Source organism: Homo sapiens, chromosome 3 (genome assembly GCF_000001405.40).
Source record: "Homo sapiens chromosome 3, GRCh38.p14 Primary Assembly".
Lineage (NCBI taxonomy): Eukaryota > Metazoa > Chordata > Mammalia > Primates > Hominidae > Homo > Homo sapiens.
Genome location: NC_000003.12, coordinates 173,041,622 through 173,061,269, shown reverse-complemented (window position 1 = coordinate 173,061,269; position 19,648 = coordinate 173,041,622). Strand labels below are relative to the sequence as shown.

At 33.6% G+C, this 19,648-nt stretch overlaps 1 protein-coding gene across 3 annotated transcripts in view; it reads left to right on the top strand.

The window, feature by feature from the left end:
- The window catches only part of SPATA16 (spermatogenesis associated 16), a 251,879-nt gene that overhangs the window by 79,966 nt on the left and 152,265 nt on the right, over window positions 1-19,648 (top strand). For all 3 annotated transcript variants that reach the window (NM_031955.6, XM_006713778.4, XM_017007308.3), the window contains exon 3: window positions 12,176-12,321. In NM_031955.6, the coding sequence (NP_114161.3) occupies window positions 12,176-12,321 (146 nt within the window). The remainder of the gene's footprint in view (window positions 1-12,175; window positions 12,322-19,648) is intronic.

Sequence of the window (19,648 nt, the reverse complement as noted above, 5' to 3'; positions counted from 1 at the left end):
GGCTCTCAGTGCTATTTTATCCCCTAGTTAGTATCTCTCTCTGTATATCCACGTACAAATGTTAATCTCATTTATCATGTCCAAGGTGGAAATGGACAAGTGTGGTATACTTCACTTTGAGATATGATGTTGATAAGAAGAGGTGGTGAAATAAAGAGTAGTGAACTCTGGTGACTGAAGTCTGGGATTCTTTTTCCCCTTCCAATTCTAGCAAAGGAAGTTCTATATGTAAAAGATCTAACAGCACTGTGGTGAGTTGCAGGAGAACCTAGAAAAACCACCAACTCAATCTATTAGCAATCATTTGGCTTGGATTAATCTCTTATTATACGAAGATAGACCTTTGAATAGATGCTACATAGTGAAAAAAATGGAAGCATTAAACTCAACTGGAATCCGGAAACCATATTTCCAAAAGAAAAGCATTGAGAGTCATAAAGAAAAGGTCTACTGAATTTCAAACAGAGGTGCTACGTAGTAAGATTTAAAAAGTAGTGAGTAGCTTAAGACACCTAGCATGATACAGAGAACCTTCTATTTAACAAATCAATTCTAGCATCTGCTATCAATGGGGGCAAATCACTAGATCTTTTAGCACAGAGTTTTATACCTGTAAAATAAGGCAATAGTAAGTGTTTTATTGACTTCATGGAAATTCTGAGAAATTAAGTACAATTTTGCAAATGAAAATATCTTAGAAATTGTAAAAATTCTTTAGTAATGGAATCTTTAACATTGTTTATTTTTAAAGCTTATCCTCCACATTTACAATTTGATCTTATCTCATATTGGTTCTTTGCTTATTGCATCTAATTTAAAATTCATTCTGTAATTTAATTTTTTTATAATTTTCATTTTTCCTCTAATTCCCTAATTTAAATTACTTTTTCAAAATAACTAAAAGAATACTGACTTTTAAAATTATTTTTTATATTTTGATTCAAGAGAACATCCTTAGGATTCAGTGTTGGACCTTCTCACGTCTCCATCTTTGGCTTTGTTTCTTTTTTTGGGGATGGAGTTTCGCTGTTGTCACCTGGGCTGGAGTGCAATGGCACGATCTCAGCTCACAGCAACCTCTGCTTCCCAGGTTCCAGCAATTCTCCTGCCTCAGCCTCCCGAGTAGCTGAGATTACAGGCGCCCGCAACCATGCCCGGCTAATTTTTATATTTTTAGTAGAGACCGGGTTTCACCATGTTGGCCAGGCTGGTCTCAAACTCCTGACCTCAGGTGATCCACCCACCTCAGCCTCCCAAAGTGCTGGGATTACAGGCATGAGCCACTGTGCCCAGCCAGCTCTGTTTTTTCTACATTAGCTTCATTCTCAGACTGACTTTCCTCCACATAACAAAGGAGAGTCACTCAAAATGCTGGGCTTTCTGTGCAGGTGTAATAGCTGTACGTCAAAAAAAAAAAAAAAAAAAAAAAAAAAAAAAGCTACCAAATGGGATAGAGACATTTATCCAGAGGAGTTCATTTATGTGGGATGGGAAAAGAAATGCATAACATGTCCAAACCCCATGCTTCCATGGCTGAACTCACAGAAATTAACAACAAAAAATACAAATCATAAAGGAACTAAGCAGATAATCCATAAATGATTAAATATAATGAGTAACAAATATGCAAAAAAGGTCTAATCTTACAAGTAACTAAGAAAAGTAGGTGGTAAAGTTTTTAAAAATAATAGCCCAAACTTTCTTAACTAACTCTTCATAAAAAAGCTGGAAATAAAAGCTGTGAATTTTTTCCTAAGTAAAGCAAAGAAGCATACAACAAATTTATATATAAGAAAAAGTAAGATAATGAGTAAGAAAAAGTAAGATAATGAATAAGAAAAAGTAAGATAAATGAGCTAAGTATTCAACTAAAGACATTAGCATACTATCACATTGGAGATGAAGAGAAAAAAAAATAACCAAAAAAAAAGACATTAGTAAAAGAACTAAGAAAACAAAAACCTAAGGAAATCAAAAGAGGAAAGAAAAAAAAAAGCCAAGATAAAAGCCAAAACTAATGAATTAGAAAGCAGAATACAAGACTTAATCAATTAATCTAAGAGTTTGTTGTTTTTAGAGAAAACACAATAATCAAACCTTCCGCAATTCTAGTTAAGAAATACAGTAAACAAAACTACAAAGTGCTAAGAATGAGCCCCAGGGGATGACACCACTAGCACACAGGCATTCTGAATGTTCTAAGAATATAATGTTCTCTACTGTAAGGACAAATTTTAAAATATGAATAAAACCTATGATTTTCTAGAAAAATATAAATTAACAAAATTAATGCAAAATGTGGAAAACCTGAACAGAATGATTAAAAAGGAAAAAAAAAGGTGAAAGGAGCTGGGCTTAGACTTTTTCAACTATTTTAGAATGTTTCAGAGTATTTAGAAAGATGGCAATCTTTCCAATCTTTCCAGTTTGTTTTATAAAGCTAGCATAAGCCCAATAACAAAACATAACCTTATAATAAATGACACATTTTTTAAAATTAATTATATATTTACTAAATAAAAATAAGTGAACAAATTTAGAACAGCCTAATGTAAAAGGAATAAAATTTATGAGCAAACAGTATACCCATACCCATGGCCGATAAACACAGGAGACTGAGCTAGTAATTGATTTTGAGGTGAGGTGCCATTTTTGTCCATCTAATTATCAAAGAACAAATACAGTAAAACATTGCTAATATCTAGTGTAGGTACTAGTATATAGAAACAAGAACTTTTACCTTGTTGCAAAAGTGTAAAACTTTTCTGGAGAGCACTTTTATGATGTATATTCTAAAGTATTAGTATTTTCTGGATTCAATTGTATACTCCTGACTCAGCAACTCCAATATGTAAGCATACATTATAACAGATAGAATATAACAATTTGAAAATGATCAAACCCGTGGGCAAGATGTATACACACGGCTGTTCATTGTACATTATGTATGATACTGAGAATTTTCAATGTCACTAGAAAAATTTCTCATTAGGGAAACCATTAAATGGAGATCTAATAAAATTATGCAGCCACTTATAATAATGATATATATATTTATTAACATGAAAATGTTCATGATATATTCAGAGAAACAAGCAGATTACATAGTAGTATGGATAACAATACCATCTTTGTAAATGGATGGATAGAGATAGATAGAAATTCATATAGATTTAGTCACACTGTAGATATAGATATATCCATGATAGTATCTAATGGTGGTCCCTTTTTAATAATAGAATTTTGAGGGTCTTTTCTTTATAATTTCTGAATTATCTAAATTCCTAACAGGTTGCTAGAGTTGTTTTCTCTATCTGTCATGAAGAACTAGTTCTACTTTGTTGTATTTCTGTCCCAATCTGTTGTGGACCAAGACTTTGTTAAATATAGGAAAAAAGAATTACTAGGAAAAACGAAGTAAAAATAAGACATAAAAATACAAATTCTATTTGTTTATTATGAGATTTAATAGATGTAATGTTTTTCTGTTGATTTGCTGTAAAAGTTTCTAAACGCTTACTCCGTTTCTGTACTTAATGTGGATCTGTAGTTAGTTCATTGAATGGTACTGTGTGGCTCTGGTGCGTGATTAAACGCACAGACTCTAGGGCCAGATGTTTGGGGAGAATCCCACATACTAAGTTAGCAGTATTTAAATTTTTGCATTTATTATCACTAGCATTGGCTTATAAAATGAACTATAAAGTAAATAATGAAAATAAAGTGAATGATACAGCCAACAATCTTGAAGCACTCTCCTGAAAGAGGTGAAAAAAATCAGAGAGCCTAATAGATAGGAATAATAGCGGTGAAAGATGCAGCTTAAGAATTATTTTCTTAAGAAAGAAAACACTATAGGCCAGGTATGGTGGCTCAAGCCTGTAATCATAGCACTTTGGGAGGCCGAGACGGGAGGATCAAGAGGTCAGGCGATGGAGACCATCCTGGCTAACACGGTGAAACCCCGTCTTTACTAAAAAATACAAAAAAATTACCCAGGCGTGGCGGCGGGCACCTGTAGTCCCAGCTACTCAGGAGGCTGAGGCAGGAGAATGGCGTGAATCCGGGAGGCGGAGCTTGCAGTGAGCCAAGATCTCGCCACTGCACTCCAGCCTGGGCCACAGAGCGAGAATCTGCCTCAAAAAAAAAAAAAAGAAAAGAAAAGAAAAGAAAATACTATAGTTGAAATGGTACCAATAATCAGAGATGTAACCGAAGAAAACTTTTCTAAGTTAGAAAAATAAATACGTGAGTATGCAAACACAGAAGTTATCTTTTTTCAGGCAAAATACATGAAAATAGAACATATGTGGACTCACGGTAGTAGTAATTTTGAGTTATAAAAAGAAAAAAATAGTACACATTTGGGGGAAAGGAAGAAACTTCAACATAAGAAGTTATTTTAAATTATGCCTGGTTTCATTTAAAAAACATTATTTTTTTTCTTGTCTGCATGGGAAATACCATAATGTAAATGGCGATCTATGTATTTACAGAAAAAATGATTATGTCCCAAAAAATGTATACTCAACCACATTTCTTTTTTTTTTTTTTTTTTTTTTTTGAAACAAGAGTCTCACTCTGTTGCTCCAGGCTGGAGTACAATGGCACTATCTCGGCTTACTGCAACCTCCGCCTCCTGGGTTCAAGAGATTCTTCTGCCTCAGCCTCCCTAGTAGTTGGGGTTACAGGGGCCCGCCACCACTTCCAGCTAATTTTTGGTATTTTTAGTAGAGACGGGGTTTTACTATGTTGGCCAAGCTGGTCTTGAATTCCTGACCTCAGGCGATCCACCCGCCTCGGCCTCCCAAAGTGCTGGGATTACAGGCGTGAGCCACTGCGCCCGGCATTTCTTACATGTCAGCAACATACATTCTCAACTATTCATGAACTTAGAAAAGTTACCATCCACATTTGCTCTTTTTGAAAAAAATTACTTGTAAATAAGTACTAACAAACTAAAAGATCATTAAGAAAAACAAAAACAAAAATGACAAAGTCATTATACAAAAGGACTTGCCAATTTCCTTCTATGAATATCACTAAACACAATCCTCATTTTATAGCAAACATCCTAAAACAACAGACATAATGATGAAGATGTGGAGGGGCTGATGTATGCTTCTATAATGGCTTGTGAATGAAACTTCAAAACAAACCTCATTATGAGTTGTTACTCCTTATTATAGAAATCTATCTATAATTTAACACAGTAAAACCTTATGGAAAATTACTTCCTTTAGATACGATTTATCCTCTTATCCAAAACCCCAGTTAAACATGATTAAAATTGTCCTGAATAAAATAAAGGAAGGAATAAAATTAAATACATCTAATTTTTAACATTATTATTTTTAATTAAATTTTACTTTAAGATAGTTATAGATTCATAGGCAGTTGTAATACAGAGAGATCTCATGTACCGTTTATGCAGTTTCTCCCAGAGGTAATATCTTGCAAAACTAGAATATTAACACCAAGGCAATCCACCAAACTTAAGATTTCTCGTTTTACTTGCACTTTCACTCTTGTATGTGTGTGTGTATTATGTCTGTGCAAGTTTATGACATGTAAATCTGCATATCCACCTACCAAATTCAAGATACATTACAGTTCCCTCACTACAGGATTCATTTTTGTTGACTTTTATAAACACAACACCTATGCAGTCCCTAGCTCCTCATTATCAATAATCTGTTCTCCATTCCTATAATTGTGTCATGTAATCATATTGTATGTAACAGTTTGAGATCAGATTTTTTTACTCAGCATATTCCCTAGAGATTCATTCAAGTCACTGCATGGATCACTAGTTGGTGCCTTCTCACTGTAAAGTAGTGGTCTTAGTATGGATGTACTGGTTTGTTTAATCATTCATCCATTGAAGGACATCTAGATCACTTTCAGTTTGGAGCTATTATAAATGAAGTTGCTATGAACATTCTTGTACAGATTTTTGTGTGAATATAAGAATGTCTCTGGAGTAAGTGTCCAGGAGTGCAACTATTGAGTTTCTCCATATTGTTTTCTCTAGTGACTGTACAATTTCACACTACTATCAGCAATGTAGGATGGAGCAATCCATTTTCTCAACATTCTCAGTTTTTGCAATCCATTTTCTCAACATTCTCAGTGGTGTTGCCACTATTGTTTTATTTTAGCCAGTGTGTAGGTGTGCAGTGATACCTCATTGTAGTTTCAATTTGCATTTCTCTAATGAATAACATCAAACATTTTTATGTGCTTATTTGCCATATGTATGAAATGGTTGCTCGTGTCTTTTGTTCACTTTCAAATTAGATTATTTTGGGGTTTTTTACCATTGAGTTTTTATTCCATTATAGTCAGAGAACATGCTCTGAATTATTTCAGTTTTCTCATTGTGTTGAGGTTTGTTTTATAGCCCAGGATATGGTCTATATTGGTGAATTTTCTATGGGCATGTAAGAAAAATGTGTATTCTGCTAGTGAGTGGAATGTTTTACATATGTGTTTTCTTTCTCTTTTCTTTATTCTTAAAAAAAAAGGATACATGTGCGGAACGTACAGGTTTGTTGCATACGTACACGTGTGCCATGGTGGTTTGCTGCACCTATTGCCATGTCCTCTAAGTTCCCTCCCCTCAAACCCCACCCCCAATAGGCCCTGGTGTGTGTTGTTCCCCTCTTGGTGTCCATGAGTTCTCAGTGTTCGACTCCCATTTATGAGTGAGAATAGGTGGTGTTTAGTTTTCTGTTCCTGTGTTAGTTTGCTGAGGGTGATGACTTCCAGCTTCATCCATGTCCCTGCAAAGGACATGATCTCATTCCTTTTTATGGTTGCATAGTGTTCCATGGTGTATATGTATCACATTTTCTTTATCCAGTCTATCATTGATGGGCATTTGGGTTGGTTCCATGTCTTTGCTGTTGTAAATTGTGCTATAATAAACATACATGTGCATGTGTCTTTATAGTACAATAATTTATATTCCTTTGGGTATATACCCAGTAATGGGGTTGCTGGGTCCTGTGTTTTTTATTCATATATATAAAGTATTTATGTATGTATGTCAGTTACATCCTGTTGGTTGATTGTGTTGTTCAGATCTATCTTTACTGGTTTTCTTTCTAATATTTCTGTCATTTGCTGAGAGGGGAATATTGAAATCTTCAACTATAATTGTAACATGTAATAATATAATTATAATTAATATACTTTTATTTTCCAATTTTAAAAAAGCAGAGCATATGAAAAATTATGTTGTAAAATTTATGTTGATATAGTGTAAAAATTATGTTGATATATCTTCTATTATGATACAAAAATGCAAAACGTATAGAAAGAAATATGGCAAAAGTTAATGGCAATTATATATATGGTGATAGGGTTATGGATAACTTTCTCCCCATCTTTAGATTTTTTTATAATTTCCAAAAACCTTAAAAATTACCAATTGATGATTATCTATATCCTTATTTGTAGACATTTGATGACTCAAACAATGCCAGCCTTTTCCAGATTTATTGTTCTCTTCTAAATTGTCAGGGATCACTGAAAATTTTATTCCAGTGATACAGTGAGGAAACACTCATCAGACAGAATTTTAATAAGGGAGAAACTATCAGCAATATTAATCTGGATAATGATGATCCTAATTAAAGAAAAATGTGTGGTTGCATTTTTAAGAATGTGGCTCACCATATATTATTTAATATTATTTCTGCAACTAATGTGGTTTATGTTATTTGTATCTGTTTTTAAACAAATCTTGAAATCCTTTTGTGCACAATTTCTAAAAGTAAGTTAGATATTTATTTCTTAAAAGAACTTTGAGAAACCTTATTAAAATTTGAGCTTATGATTCCAATTTAGTACTGACATTTCCTTTTACTATTATTATTATTATTATTAGAGACTGAATCTCAGTCTGTCACCCAGGCTGGAGTGCAGTGGTATGATCTTGGCTCACTGCAAACTCTGCTTCCTGGGTTCAAGCAACCCTCCTGGCTTGCTCACTGCAAACTCTGCCTCATCCTCCCTAGTAGCTGGGAATACAGGTGCCCGCCACCATGCCTGGTTAATTTTTGTATTTTTAGTACAGACGGGGTTTCGCCATGTTGGCCAGGCTGGCCTCAAACTCCTGACCTCAGGTGATCCGCCTGCCTCGGTCTCTGAAAGTGCAGGTATTACAGGGATGAGGCACTGTGCCAGGCCTGAAATTTCATTTTTAACATCTAGGTTCTTATCAAAACAACAGCTATACTCATAAGAATTTAGACTTGCATTTTTTCCTTAAATATTGACTTTTAATTTGTCCATACTGTATTCAAAAATATTTTAGGGTTTCTTTTGAAATAAAAAGTTAACTCCTAACTTAATTTTTCCTACTTAAAAGTCTTCTCAGTGATATACTATTTCAGGTAATTTAAAAGTTTTTATTCCTTATCTCCATGACTTATTTCACCAAAGATTTAAATTATACATTTCTAGACAAATACCCTTTGTTTCAAGGTGAACAAAATCACCCTTCCTAGATTTAAACAAATTCACACCACATTAAGTTTCTTCATCTTCTGGAGAATTAACTGCTCAGTCTATACAAATGTCTATATGGAAATGTTAAAATTTAGTAAAATATCTGAAATGTGTTTCATGGTTCTGATGCCAACATTTTGTCTACATGTACCTATAACTCTACCTTTAACTTCAACACATTGTTTTAACTGTTTGCCTTATTGCAAAGCTTAATTCAAAGATGTACTACTTTGGAAGAGAATAAATAAAGCAATCTTCGATATAGTCAGTAAAGTTGTCAATCTTACAACACTCGATTGGTAAAGCAAGAATTCAACAAACATACATAAAGCCTACCCAGCAGGCTGCCTATTTTCTGATTTTAACATGAATTGAAAAATTATCCTGGTCTTTCACTGCTGTCTTTCAGCTTGGTTTCATGAAGTATTCTCATTAGTGTGTTAAGATAGATCATTTTTATTTCTTTTCTTGCCTTGAATCTTATACAAGCAGAGACTCTTCACTTTCTCTCAGTGTTTATAGACAGTCTTTACTATTATGAAATCTGAAGGTGGCTTCCTCCTGCCTGCCATGAAGAACCTGAATGTCCTCATGGAAACTACTCACTGAATGACTTCCACATTATCCCATAATGACTTCCACATTATCCCACGGTGGCTCACGCCTGTAATCCCAGCGCTTTGGGAGACCTAGGCGAGTGGATAACCTGAGGTCAGGAGTTCAAGACCAGACTGGCCAACATGGTGAAACCCTGTCTCTGCTGAAAATACAAAATTAGCTGGATGTGGTGGCACATGCCTGTAGTCCTAGTTACTTGGGCGGCTGAGGCAGGAGAATCGCTTGAACTTGGGAGGTGGAGGCTGCAGTGAGTCGAGATGCTGCCATTACACTCCAGCCTGAGCAAGACAGAGTGAGACTCTGTCTCAAGAAAAAAAAAAAGTGTGCCTAAAAAGAGGCTCTTCCACACCATCACATCAGAGAGAAACAAGGATAGGAAGGGGCAAAGACCACATACAATGTATATTTTCTTTCTTTTTTAAGATTTTATGTGAAGAGGAGATTTGAGTAAGATTTGAGGAAACAAAGGCTGATTTCATTTAAAGATAAAATTAACTGAGCCAAGCGCCGTGGCTCCTGCCTGTAATCCCAACACTTTGGGAGACTGAGGCGAGCAGATTACTTGAGGTCAGGAGTTCGAGACCCAGCCTGGCCAACATGGTGAAACCCCATCTGTACTGAAAATACAAAAATTGGCTGGGCACGGTGGCTCACGCCTGTAATCCCAGCACTTTGGAGGCCAAGGTGGGTGGATCACAAGGTCAGAAGACCGAGGTCATCCTGGCTAACACGGTGAAACCCCGTCTCTACTAAAAATACAAAAAATTAGCCGGGCGTGGTGGCACTTGCCTGTAATCCCAACTACTTGGGAGGCTGAGGCAGGAGAATCGCTTGAACCCGGGAGGCAGAGGTTGCTGTGAGGAGAGATCGCGCCACTACACTCCAGCCTGGGAGACACAGCCAGACTCTGTCTTAAAAGAAAAGAAAAAGATAAAATTAATTGAGAAGATCTGGAATGTTAATATAAGATATGGATAAATAAAACTACATAATTACTACTAATTTTGTTTTCTATTTATTTGTGTTTTATAGTCATGTCATATAAAAATCTTCCTTTTGTGGAAAACTCTGTTTAGGTATTTCTGGATCCTGTGGGATCAGATTGGCAGAAGAAAGGAGATGCTGTCTCAAATTGCCATCTTCAAACTATCATGCTTTCTAAAATTATGTTTTAAAGCCTGTTTACAGCCACGCTGACACTTCTGAGGTCAGATTCTCTAGAATAATTACTAAATCTGGTTTAAATGTTTTATCTATTTTATTACCAATTTTATCAGGTGACTTTTATGAAGCATCCAAATGTAGCACTGACTGAGGTCATTTCCAGTGTATCTTCCACAAATAGTCTTTGCTAATTTTTTTCAAAATTATTGAGAGTAGTGTTTTATGTATTCTGAGAGCCTTTACAAAACATGAGTAAAAGTGGACACTTTTCCAAAAAATTATTTGAGGGTGAAACCCCTACATTTTATCATTTGTATATTATTACTACCAGAAAAGGGGTAATAGCTTAAATATCTAAATATTTATTATAATTAATAAGAAAAAGATTTACATGTCAATAGAAATAGGCAAGGAATAGGAAAGGGGTATTTATATAGAGCTAAAAATAGACAAGATTTATGAAAAAATCCTAATCAATTCAAATTAAAATGTAAAGAGACCAACTTTGGCAGATAGTAGATGCTCAGTAAGTATTTTTTACTAAATGAAGAAAGTAACATATTTCATTCATCCAACTGATAAAGGGTTTTAAGAACAATATGAATCTCCAGGATTAATAAGATAGCCAAGCAAAAGAAAACAGCATTAGGTAACTACCAATTCAGACTGTGGATACTGAACATCTAGATTCTAGATTTATTTTTTAGCCTTTAGTCTTTTTTAGCCTTTGCTAAGAAAGTAAATGCATTTTAGAACAGAATATAGCCACATTCAAATAACAAACTGCATTTAAAAAATGACAATAGCATTAATATAAATGGCAAAACCGTCTCAAGACTTAACCTATAAAAGAAAATTTATTTTAAACTATGTCATTTAAGCAAACAGGATTTAGAATACAATAAATTTTATACTGAAGGATATATAAATAAGTATTAACTGCAAATATTACTACCTCTGGCAAGAAAATTTCCCCCAGTATATGCATAGATGGAAGTAGAAAAGAGCAAAAAGGCGATATCCTGAATAAGGTCACTAAACATAGATAGGACTTCTTTTCCATCAGCCTTAATTTCAAGGAACAGTAGAATACTCTGAGGGGAAAAAAAAGTGCCGATCTTCCCTTGTCATATTATTGACACTTCATAATGTTTGGGGTTCTCCAAAAAAAATTAATTATTTTCTTTCTCTACAGTTTATCTATGATGCCCAGAAACCACTGACTTCCTGGAATTTTTATTAAGAATTCATATTCTTGCCATGTTTTTCAGATACTGTGTCCTCTGCCAATAAATTCTAATAAATTTTCACTTCTTTTCTTTCAATAACATACTAGAGAATATGATTCAGACTCAAATTAATCACCGATCATGTTAATGGCTCCTAGGAGTTTACTTCCGATACCTCTTATTATATTAAATCAAACTTGATAGTGTGCTAGATCATTGCTCAGCTGGGTTTTCATAAAAGCACTGGTATTTAATATGATTTATGCCTGGCTTTCTGTTAATATCTTTGGTTATTGTGTGCTTTATTTTTAAAACAGACATTCTTAGCAACTGGCACTCCTTTAAAACCTATCATACTTTTAAAATATTTTACAGGAAGGATTTTACAGTACAATGTGTCCCTTATTTTATATTACAGTCACTCACTTAATAGTGAACAGGAACAATTTATTTAATTTATAATCAAAATATTAATATTTTACTTGTAGTTTGGAAAAAGCATCATATATACTTTTAACATATACGCAAAACATATAAGCAAGCATAAGCAAAACATATATAAATAAAACATACACATGTTTTGCTTATTTAAAAGATAAATTATATGAAAGATTATTAAGATGTTGAAAGTACTATATTTTTTAAAGCTTTGCAGCAAAGGAGCAGTTCTGGGAGAACCATTTGATGCACCTGCTGAAGATATAGCAAGCGTGGCAAGTTTCATTGAGACAAAGCTTGTTACCTGTTATCTACGGATGAGGAAACCAGATCTTGCCCTGAATCATGCACACAGGTAAAATCATATACTAATAAGTGCAAGTAAATGCTGTTCATGCTAGTGGAGGGTACTATCTGAGCTTGCCTGATCACCTTCCATCTTATTTCAATTTAAAGAAGAAACAAACATTTATTTACTGCTTGTTTTATGTCAAGTGAGGCAATCATGGAGACCACAAAAATCTCAAAACCTACTGGAAGAAATAGAGACACAAGAAACTATTCATAATGCAGGGCAAAACTAAAAGGCAGACAACTGCAGAAGCAAATTGCTGCGGGAAGAAACGAGGGAGAGAATAGGTAAGTAAGGGAGGTGGTATTGAATCGTAAGAGGGATTGTCGAAATTGCAGTTGTGGAATGGTAGAAGGGAATTCTGACTGTGAAGTATGAGCCAAGACTTGAAAGTTCATGGCTTATTTGGTGATCACATTAGCTGATTCAAAGGATCCTTTGGACAGCTTTCCAAAGGTATGAAATACTTTTTATCTCTGTCCTTAAAATTTTCTTTTTTATATTTCTATCCTTCTTTAGAAGTATGTATCTGTGTGTCACTATATGACTTCCTAGAATCCCCAGTGTTACCCAGGCCTGTCTTTTCTTCTATAAAAGTGTATCTCTCCTGTATTTTATGTTTTAGGGGTCTTTCTCTCATGGATAATAATCAGTTTTAATCTGCAGCAAAGATAAAGTGATTATATTATGCCTTTCAACAAACGCTTTCCTTGAAATTGTGATGTCTCTATCCCTCCCTGCCTGACTTTGAGCAATTTACCTAGAATTTTTGTGTTGTTCATTTTCTCATCTCACATCCTGTACTTCTTTTGGGTACAAATGGCAAACTAGTATCAATATGAACATATAATTCCTGCTTTCTTAATAACCAACTGGGGAACATGATTATCGGTTATATTAAGACTCATTTGTAAATGGGAGATTTATTAGTATGGTAAAAGTCATTTACAAACTCACATCCACTAGGATGTAAAAGTTGTTTCTACCCAAGATATTTCACAGCCCTAGTAGTGAACTTAAACTTGACCTCAAGAACCTACAGACAACAAAATCACTTTGAAATTCACAAGACAACCTGTTTGAAAGCCATTCTCCCTCTTAAGTAAACTACAAAACATAGAGGCAGATTCTCTTTGACATTAAAAGAAAATTTTACTCCCTATATTATCTGGAAACATTTTATGAAACCATAGTTTTAAAAAAAAATCAAGATATATGGTCGGTCAAACAATTTTGTTCTATTTCCATTTGAAAGAAGAAATACTGGAAAAGTAATGTGTATTTCAGTATGTCAAAATATTGCAACTTTTGGGCTATCTGGGTGATTTGTGGGAAAAATACTTGAAAACTATTTACAGACTAAAAAATATTTGATCATGCAAAAGCAAAGAACATAAATAAGTAAAAATTTTAAAAATAGAAACAAACATTTGAAAGCTATTTATAGACTTCAAAATATTCAGAAAATCCATAGGCATACATAAACAATAATAAATTGAGATGCACTAAAAGTAATTATACCTCACCTTCTCCATGGTTATAATCACAAATAAAAAGGGCCGCCTACATGGCCTACATTTTAAAAGAAATATTTCTTGGATATCAGATTATTTTGATGAATTTTTGAATCGTATTTAATAATAAAAGGGTTCCAAATGGCATGGTCATGTCAAAATGTAATTAATTCAATGTTATTAAAAATAAGTAACAGTCTCTGGTAAACAAGAATTCAGTAAAAAAAAAAAAAGTAATGAGAACGAAAGATCAAAAATTCCACTATAATCCAAATATAAGAACCACAAGATGCTGCAATTCCTGAGAATGCAAAGATCAGCTTCAGTAGGTTCACTATTTAGAATTAGAAATGTTCTGCTTTGAAAGTAAGAATGCTTTTTCAAGACCTTGAAAATTACCGAATTTAATGTGTACAACAGTGAATAGTAAAGTTATCTTTCCTATTACGTTACAATTAACTTTTGTAAAATAATTTTTGCTGCTGTTCCTAAGTTGAACATTAAGTAAGAAATGTAAATCAATAAAGGTTAAACAGTCAATTTGTACAATTAATAATGCATCAAGTGAAATAAATCATTTTGCTGGTCTGGTCATAGTGCAGAACTGCATAAGTCAATACATATGATTTTAATATCAAAACATCTTGAAAGATCTTAGATTTTAAAACAGTCTGAAATATAGTCAACAAATGTATTTGATAAAATAAATTAATTAGGATATTTACTCTATAAACAGCTTACAACCATTAGTTATATACTCAATGCAGAATTCTGCTTTTGTATTATTATCACATTGTGAAAGTTGATACTAATCATGAATCAAAATTAAAATATTCCTTTTTTGCATTTATTTGCATTTGCTGAAGCATCTTCTCTGTAATTTTATGTAAATGTGAGGTCTACTGCATATTTTTAGGAGACTTGTTAACACAAAAATTAGCTTAAAAACCATCATGTAGTTTTGCTTCTATTGTTTTGTCATAGAGAAGACTACAAGGACCATAACTTTATGGTTTTAAGATCAACAGAGATACGTTTTGAAATTAATCAGCTAAGCACTGCCATTTAAACTAAAATAGTCAATGATACAAAGGCTCTGAAAACAACTATTATCAAAATGGCTCTTCTTTTTTATTCATAACATATCCGAAGTGGCATATATAAGTATTATTTTTTACTTCAACCAAAAGTAATGCTCAGACTCTCCTAATACATTCAATCTCTGCTCACTTCATCAAACCAGTGCCACTGTTTATCAGAAGGTTTTTGAACATTTCTAAAGACCGATTTGTAATTACTGCTTTCTTATCAAGATTAAAAATCCTGCTATGATTCTTTTATTATATAAATATATTTTGATGTATATACTTGCAAAGATTTTAATGATACATATCACCTTTTGTATATTCCCTACCTTTAGGGTTTTTTATTTTTATTTTTATTGCAAAATTTTATTGCCACAAGGTGGCAGACAAGATGAAGTCTAAAGTACCAAATATGTAAGAAAAATCCCTATTTTAAAAATGATTTTATAATGGTAGTATCTACATTCATTCATTCATTTTAAAAAACTTATTAAATATTTCCACCAAGAGCCTATTCCTGTGCTAGGCAGTGGAGAGACAGTTATAAATAGAAAATACATGATGCTTATACACCAGCAGAAGTAGCAGAGTGTAAATAAATAAATAAATATTAGCATATATATGAGATGAAGAGTATGATAAATGCTGTGAAGGAAATCAACATAAGTTATGTTGCAGAGCCAGCATAGTATATTTAGTCAGACCACAACGTCTAGAATGTGACTGCCTAGGTTCAAATTATGACTGCTCCACTCACTAGACTGAATTTAACTTTCAAAAAAACTAGGTTATAATAGTACTTACTTCACAAGTACTATTTCACAAGGTTTTGTGAAAAATAATTATAAACCCATGAATTTTTTATTCTAACCGTGACACAGTTATTGGTACTGAATCTGCCTTCTTGCTGTAAACAACTGTAAAACTGGACAAAATATAAGAGGCAACGGCTTTCAGGCCTTGGACAATGGTCAGAGCAGGACTGTGATCCCTGAAAGAAGGAAAATACACAGGATGAGCCCCATAATCTTCTCAGCTTTTTGTTCGGTTTATTTTTCTGCCCTAGTTCAGGGACATGGATATCAAGTTAAACTACAGTCTCACCAAACTGAAGAGGCCGAGATTAGAATAGCAAGGCTGCCAAGGAAGCTATAATGACAGGAAACATGGCCAAGAAAGAGGTAGCTGTGTGAAAGGGTTGAGAGACAGAAGTCTGCATGGGAATTTACTGTAAGTTCTTAGCCAAGGTCTGAGCCATGCATGTGAGGAAAGAGATTCCATACAGCAGAAATTGCCTGCCACAGAACTAAGTGCTAAATGGAAATACTTAGGTGACCTGCAGTGCTTGGAAATGTTGGAGTATTAGGGTAAAGAGACTTCACTCAGCACCTCAGGTACTCAGTTGAGCCCCAGAAAGATCATACTATAATAGTAAGGACCATGACCTACCAAAAGGACCACACCTTAAGATTAAATTCAAAGACAAAATAGACCTGTCTTAACAAAAAATACAACTAAGCTTCACAAGAACAAGAGTATCTGCCATTGCATTCTCTCACAGGGGGAAAAAAACAAAAACAAAAAAACCTCAACATCTTAACATATTTTTCAGGAAATATGTCATAATCCAGATTCCCCACAAAGTCTCACCCAAAATATCCAGCATAAAGTTAAAAATTACCACACATGCAAAGAAGTAGGAAAATGAGACTTAAGAAAATAAGCAGTCCATAGAAATAGACTTCAAGATGTAGAACCAGATATAGATCTTCGAGACCCAGATGTAGAACTGGCAGACAAGGATTTCAACAAACCTATGAAAGTACATTCAAGGATCTTAAGGTAAAAATAGTTGTAATGAGTGAAGAGATGAGAATCCCAACAAAGAAACAGAAGCTATGGGAAGAACCAAATGGAGATTTAGCATAGATGAATAAAATATCTGACCTTTAAAATGTACTAATTTATTACTTTAACATCAGTTTGGAGAATGCTAAAGAAAGGACTAGTGAAGTTGAAGACAAATCGATAGAAATTATCCACTATAAAGACAAGAGATAGACAATAAAAGATTTTTTAAAAATTAATCAATGGCTCAGTGACCTGTCCTCAGGGATAGTAACAAGAAATCTAACATACATGTAATTGAAGTCTCAGAGAAAGAAGAAAGAGAAAATAGGATATAAAAAATAATTTCTGGAAATTTTCCATTTTGGTTAAAAACAAAAAAGAAAACCCAGTAAGCCTCAGCAGGAGAGGCTGATTCAAAGACGATCGCATCTAGGAACATCATAATCAAACTGATGAAAACCCAAGATGAAGAGAAAATATTAAAGGCAGCCAAAGAAAAACAACGCATTACACAGGAGGAACAATGATACAAATCACTGGTAACTCTTAATCAGAAATATGGATGCCAAAATACAATGGAACGACAACTTTAAAGTGCCGAAAGCAAAATTTAAACTAGAATTTGATTTTCAGCAAGTAAAATGAAAATATTTTCATATAAATAAAAGTTAAAAAATTAATCTTTACCAGATCTGCACTTTGAGAATAATAAAGAGAAATGTAGAAAATGGCAATAGATTGAAACTTGTAGGAAATGGCAATAGATTGAAACTTGTAAGAAATGGCAATAGATTGAAACTTGAACTACAAAAAAGAAAGAAGAGTACCAGAGGTGATAAATGGTAAATATAAAAGACTATTATATGAAAATGATAAATGGTAAATATAAAAGTACCAGAAGTGATAAATGGTAAATATAAAAGACTGTATTTTCTTTTCAAAATGTCCTTAAAGATAAATGTTTAAACAGAAAATGATAGCATTTTTATTATATTAACTAAATTAAAAATAATAATAAGATTACACATGCCAATGTAAAATATTTGACTACAATATCACAAAGGCCTGTGGGTGGGAGAACAAATGGAATTTTACTATAGTAAGGCTTTTTTACATGAAATGGTACAATATTAACTGTAAATAGACTATGATAAAGATGCAAATGATTAAAAATATAAAAATTATAGCTAGAAAGCCAATAATTGACTTAAAATTAATTACTAATGAATATTTAATTAACTGAAAATAAGTCAAGAAAGGAGGAAGAAAAGAATAAAAAATAGATGAGATACTGGAAAACAGAAGCATGATGGCAGAGTTCAATCAAACTACGTCAGTAATTACATCAAACATATGTACATTGATTGAAAATTCCAGTTAAAAGGCAGAGACCATCAGTCTGGATTACATTGCAAGGCTCAACTAAATGCTATCTATATAAAGCATACATTGAAAGTAAAAAAATGAAAAATGATACACTATACAATAAACATAAAAGTCTATTTTTAATGCTTAATTTTGCTGTGTTATTACCAAAGTAGAATTTAAGAGAAGGTGTACTACTAGAGATGAAAATAAGACTCAATTAAAATTTCAAAAATTTTAAAACCTTATAGAGCTTGTTCTCTAACCATAATGTAATTAAATTAGAAATCAATTTAAGACTAAGACACCTAGAAAACCCCTCCAAATACTTGGAAATTAAACCATACACATCTAAGTAACTCATGGATCAAAATTAAACAAAGGCATAGATTTGAATCCCTGCTTTATCAGTTACTAGCTTTGACTTTCATAATTAACTTCCCTTGGCCTCTGTTTTCTCTTCTTTAAATATAAGTAAAATGCTCAAAAGCATCCCTGAATATCAAAATATATCAGGTTTGTGTTTTATTGTAATCCCACCACCAATAACAAATACAGGTAATTTTCAGTGGTAATAGAAATAAGCTCTATATTTTCATAAAGGAGACTATTATTTTTAAAATGCCTTTCTGCCTGTAATGCCAACACTTTGGGAGGCCAAGGGGGGTGGATCGCTGAGGTCAGGAGGAGTTCAAGACCAGACTGCCCAAAATGGTGAAACCCCATCTCTACCAAAAATACAAAATTAGCTGGGTGTGGTGGCACACACCTGTAACAGTCCCAGCTACTTGGGAGGCTGAGACAGGAGAATCACTTGAACCCGGGAGGGAGAGGCCACAGTGAACCAAGATGACACCACTGCACTCCAGCCTGGGCGAGACAGAGCGAGACTCTGTTTCAAAAAATAATAATAAATTAATAAATAAAATACCCTTCTGAACATAACATACTCAATAAAGTAGACAATTGGAAATCGTCTATGAAAATACAGCTTTTGGGGTGTTATCAATCACAGTTTCGTGGATAATTATGATCAAAGGTGATATTCGCTTAAAGCATTACAGATACCCGTGAGTTTTAGAATGAATTGATTCATAATAGAAGTAATAGGAATTTTGCAAATTTCTTGCAGATATCAAGAAATGAGATATTTTAAATACAATAACCTCTTCTTTTTTTTATTTTTATACTTTAAGTTTTAGGGTACATGTGCACAATGTGCAGGTTTGTTACATATGTATACATGCGCCATGTTGGTGTGCTGCACCCATTAACTTGTCATTTAACATTAGGTATATCTCCTAATGCTATCCCTCCCCCGCCCCCATCCCGCAACAGCCCCGGTGTGTGATGTTCCCCTCTCTTCTTTACCAGAACTGAGGGTTTAAAATTTGGCCACTAAATGTAACACATCAACAACATTAGATAAAATAATTGTCATGATCTCGGATGAACTTAAACAAAACTACAATACTATAGTAAAATAATAGGGAACATTGCGGGTGCCAGTTTTTT